This window comes from Homo sapiens, chromosome 10 (assembly GCF_000001405.40).
Source record: "Homo sapiens chromosome 10, GRCh38.p14 Primary Assembly".
NCBI lineage: Eukaryota > Metazoa > Chordata > Mammalia > Primates > Hominidae > Homo > Homo sapiens.
The window spans coordinates 117,561,754-117,566,934 of record NC_000010.11 but is presented as its reverse complement, the minus strand read 5'-3'; the positions used below and the strand labels follow the sequence as shown (position 1 = coordinate 117,566,934).

The following is a 5,181-nucleotide window of genomic DNA, read 5'->3' as shown; positions in this document are numbered from 1 at the left end:
TGACCAATGCCAGGCATTGGTCAGTGAGGGAGAGGTGGGGTTCAGATCTGGAAGACAGTGCAGCCAGGACCTCAGTGCCCTCAGAGTTCTAGCAAAGCCCTAAGCCCTACCCTGGACCTTTCCCTTTATTTTCTCCCTTTTTCTCCTCCAGCCCCCAATCTGAGAGTCTCCTAAGTAAACTACTTGTCTTCTAAGCCAAGAAGTTCTCCAGCTTTCAGTCCAATTCATTGCTGATTTGGGAACCCCCAGGGTAGGGTTGCCAGGTATCTTGTATACAAGGATGTGTCTCATATTTACTTATGTGACGCAACTCCTGTATAAACTGTCAAGATGGTCCATAATTAACACCCTGTATTTAGCTTTTGTCAATAAATTACAAAATTCAGCCTTTAGAACTATTTTTCTAATTTAGCTGGGCATCCTATCTTTTTATTTGCTAAATCTGGCAATGCTACTCCAGGGTCCAGGTGTTCTGAGACCCCCAATCAGAGCATCCCCAGGGCAGTCATTTCTACACAGACCATGGAAACAGCTCTGTGCATGTCCGTGTGTGCACATGTATACATACGTGTGTTATATGTGTGCATTGCGTGTGTCCCTCCATGCCTACTGGGAGTGTGCTCAGTATGTTCACTGACAGAAGTCTGTTGAGGGCACAAGAATGAGTCATCTCCACCCAACTCTGAACAAAGCCTGCAGAATAGGGGCAGCCACACCAGGGGTCTGGCTGAGTTACACTAAGATAAACAATATTTCAATCACCTTTCCCATTGGGATCTTTCCTGATAAGCTTAGGATTCATCCTGCCAAGCCTCCCTCGGATGCTGAGGAGAAGCCACTCTATGAGATGTTCAAGGAGGCCTCATCACGGACCTATCCGGCTGAGAAGTTCCATTGGTCCAGCTCCTTCACTACCCAGGTGAGAAATCTGAAGGCCGGGGGGGAAAGGGTCTTGCCCAATGTCACATAGCCATCAGAGAAAGAATTGGAACTGGGATCCCCATCTTCTGGCTCTAGCCCAAGGCTTGTCCACTGCCTACAATGACTCTGTCTCATACTAGGACACAGTCAAAAGAAAGCTGAACTCTTGACAGTTCAATGGCAGCCATTTGTTCCCCAACTTGCAGGAATATAGTAGTGCCTAGCATTTATTGAGCACCTATGGCATGCTAGGCTCATTTAATATACACAGTACTCCCAGGTTGTAAATTTTACTATTGCCCTCATTTATGCATGAAGAAACGGAGGCCAAAATACTTGCCCCGGGTCACACAGTTGGCAAGGTTAGTGGCCACTTTACCCAGATGTGCACTTTGAGCCAAGGTAGGAATCTGGCTTCCTTGTGCTAAATAAACTGGTCTCTAGAAGTCAGTTCTTCAGATGCCTCAGCGGCTGCTGTGAGTGAGGGCCCGTGAAGATGGGCTATCATTTAATCACCAGGATCTGAACCCTCTTTCTCCAAGCCAAGGGCAGCTATATCTCCTGGCCACTTTTCTTGCCTGAGTCATCAATTTCAGCTAAGATCTTTAAACCCATCTCACTAACAGATTTTCCAAAACTGATGCCTGGGACAGGGGACAGGAAGTGATCATGTTGCTACCTTGTAAACCTTGCCTTTCAACTCTCCCCTTGAGAGAAGACACTCTCCCTCCTTTCCTTCTGAATGGCTCTTCCCTGTGCACCCCCCCACACCACCCCGTCTTTCCATCTTTCCATTCTCAGCTCAGCCCAGCCACTGCATTCAGCAGCCATTTATCACAGCGCCTGACACCACACAGGGGTACTGTTTGCTCATTTGCCTTCAAGAAAGTAAGTAGTTTTTTGGTTGATGGCCAGTTAAGGGGACCGGATATGGGCAGAGAACTGTGTACCAGACCCCTCCCCAGGGGAGTGCCCCTGGTATGTTATCTGGCGCTCCTGAAATCCAATGCTGGGCTGGTGGGGCAGCCAGGTGTGCCTAAGACAAGGCTGTTTTCCCTCTCTGGAGAACCCTCCCCCGTGAGAAGGGGGCACAAAGGGCTCTGCTTCCTGCTGTTGGGCTGCCAGGCCACCCCACAGGGTAGGGATTTCATCTCCAAGCCTGCTCTGGCTGAGTCTGTGTGCTCTCCCACCTCCCCACTGCAAGCACCTAGGTTTGACCTCCTGAGCTTGCCCTGAGCTCCCCTGTCTCCCCTGTGGACCTCACTTACCTCCCAACATTTCTGGGTTGGCCAAGATTACCCTCCTCCCTCCTTTCTCTCCACCCATTGCTGCCCCCAGTAAGCTCTCCCTCCTCCCCGGCGCGTGCTCCCAGGGGCTCTGTCACTCCTTGGTACAGCCTGCAAATGAGCTTGTCCAGAGGCCAGACATTATCTCCACCCAAATTCCTTCTCTGCCATTTATCAGCTGTGTGACCTTAGGCAAGGCACTCAGCCACTCTGAGCCCAATATCCTCACTTCTAAAACGGAGTTGGTGAGAGTTTCTACCTCTCTGGGGGCGTCATCAAGAGGATTAAATGAGAGAATGCACATAAAGTTCAGAATTCATAAAGTTCAGAATTGAATGGCACAGAGCACATTCAATAGCTGTTGGTCACAAGCACTGTTGCCGTGAATACTCAAAATCTTATACCTGCCTTCTAACTTTCCCCTGGTCTTGACTGTTTTAATTTATGGTTTTCCCATATTGATTTCTTACTGTTTTATTTTTACATTATAATGTGTTTATACCACAAATGTATTAATAAAGTTTAATTCTATTCCCTGAGGGCCACTTCAGATATTTTGTGTAATCAGGCAGGAAAAGTAGACACTCAGAGAGCCACACAGAGACAGGCAGAGGTGATGGGGAAGGCAGGACTGAGAGAGGGGCAGGAGGAGGGGCGGTGGGGCAGGAAGGACAGAAGAAGAGACTGAGCGCCCCTAGAAGGACCGACCACCAAAGGGCAACCAAGAGGGGCAAGGACCAGCCCCATTCCCTCGCGCCGCGTTCTTACTGCCTGTTGGAGAGACTGGGCTTACAGATTTAGAGGGAGGGAACCACTGGGGTCAGCAGGTTAGGGAAATGATGGTGGGCAAGGCAAGGAAGTGCTACCCGTGAGGGCACAGAGGCAGGAACATTAGGCCCCTATGAGCCACACCGAGACCAGGTGCTTAAAAGGAAACTGCGACAGAAAATGTTCCCACCCTCATTCATCTCCCCAACACACACACACACACCTACACACTACCCAGACACATCCATACACACACATGCACACCCACACACCCATAGACACACATGCACACCCACAAACACACATGCACACCCACACACCCAAGGCACACATGCACACCCACACACACCCACAGACACACATGAACACCCACATGCACCCATGGACACACAAGCACACCCACACGTATGCACACACATGCACACTCACACACACCACACACACAGACACACACGCACACCCACACACCCATAGACATACATGCACACACAGACACATATGCAGACCCCCCCACACCCACGAACACACATGCACACCCACACACACCCACAGACACACATGAACACCCATATGCACCCATGGACACACATTCGCATCCCCACATACACACAGACACACACGCACACCCACACACACAGACACATACACCCCCACATACGCACACACATGCACACCCACACACCCATAGACACACATGCACACCCACACACATACATACCAACATACCCAGAGACACACATGCACACCCACACACACCCACGAACCCACATGCACACCCACAGACATGCATGCACACCCACACACACCCACAGACACACATGCACAGACACACACACCCACGGACACACATGCACACCCACATGCCTACTTGTATATACATGCACACATCCATATACACACAGACACATCCCCACACACTGATACACACTCATACACACCTACCCATACGCATGCACACTCATACAGACACACCTGTACACATATGCATACACATGTACACACCCACACACACCCATATACACACATACACACCTATGCACACTCATACACATGCTCAAACATACATCCATACACACACACAAGCACCCACACAGTCCCCTATATAAACACATGAGCAACCACACATAGCCCCACACACACACACATTTGTGCATGTGCGCACACATACACCTTCATGGCTCTTTGGAGGGGCCTCTCCCCTCCCCTCAGCACCCACAGAATTACCCGCACACACCTGCCAAGACTCGGGCCCCTCTCCTGGCTGCCACCCTGTGGCTCTCTCAGGTCAGGTCTTGTGTCAGCTGCAGCCTCACCTTGGCATGCCTCTCAGGGGCTCACAGGAGGACTCAGAAACGCAGAAAAGGGTAGCAGAAAGTGAGTGGTCCATGGGGAGTGGCCATGGGAGAGTCTGCTCAGCAAGTCACCAGGGACTTCGTGACTGGAGGGTCCAGAGTCTGCAGACAAACGCCACACTGCTCCGTCCTCACCCACCAGGCATGGCAAGCACTGGGCCCTCCCCACTGGGCCCTCTATCTAGGGCACACATGGGGGCTGCAGACCTGGCTCCCCTGGGTCCACCTAGAAAGCCACCCAGACCCCTAGCCCCAAAGCCTACAAAGCCCCCGAAAGCCCACAGGCCAGCCTGGCCCCACCACCACCCAAGGATATCCATTTCTCCCTCCACTTTTCCAGCACAGGTAATGACAACGCACTTGAGGAAACTCGATAGGTTGGCTACCTTGAAATGGAGAAGGAGGTCAAGAAACACATATCCTAACTTTCAGAAGGAACTGTCTGGGATAATTAATCAACACATCACCAACACCAAGGGATTGTTTTATATCAGAAGACGTATAATTAAAAAAAAACAATAGCAGGCTTGTTGTGTGTTTTGTTTCTAAGGAATGTTAATTATGTTTGGCACCTTGACACATCCAAAGTTCTCCCCCAATATTTAGAAATCAAACAGAACTTGGCTTCGAGATCTTTCTTAGCCAACAGAACTTGGCTTCGAGGTCTGGACTTAGCACAGGCAGGGTCGTAGAAACAAAATGGGCCTCCAACAGGTCTTTGAATGGGCCTGTGATTGCTGTACTAGTGAGGAAGGCACTTGCAATTGCTAAATTGCACTCACTATTGCTTAATTACACCTTTGGATCAGCACCTAATTTGCTTAGGGTGCAACTGAGCTGCCATGGGTGTAATT

The 5,181-nt window shown here is 50.2% G+C and overlaps 2 annotated features.

Annotated features, from left to right (window-relative positions):
- Nucleotides 3,954-4,453: an enhancer, noted in NCBI's record as "H3K4me1 hESC enhancer chr10:119321993-119322492 (GRCh37/hg19 assembly coordinates)". NCBI's record gives its function as "activates a minimal SCP1, AML or CMV promoter by ChIP-STARR-seq in naive H9 embryonic stem cells {active_cell/tissue: H9 hESC(naive)}" and the evidence as "EXISTENCE:reporter gene assay evidence [ECO:0000049][PMID:30033119]".
- Nucleotides 4,454-4,955: an enhancer, noted in NCBI's record as "H3K4me1 hESC enhancer chr10:119321491-119321992 (GRCh37/hg19 assembly coordinates)". NCBI's record gives its function as "activates a minimal SCP1, AML or CMV promoter by ChIP-STARR-seq in naive H9 embryonic stem cells {active_cell/tissue: H9 hESC(naive)}" and the evidence as "EXISTENCE:reporter gene assay evidence [ECO:0000049][PMID:30033119]".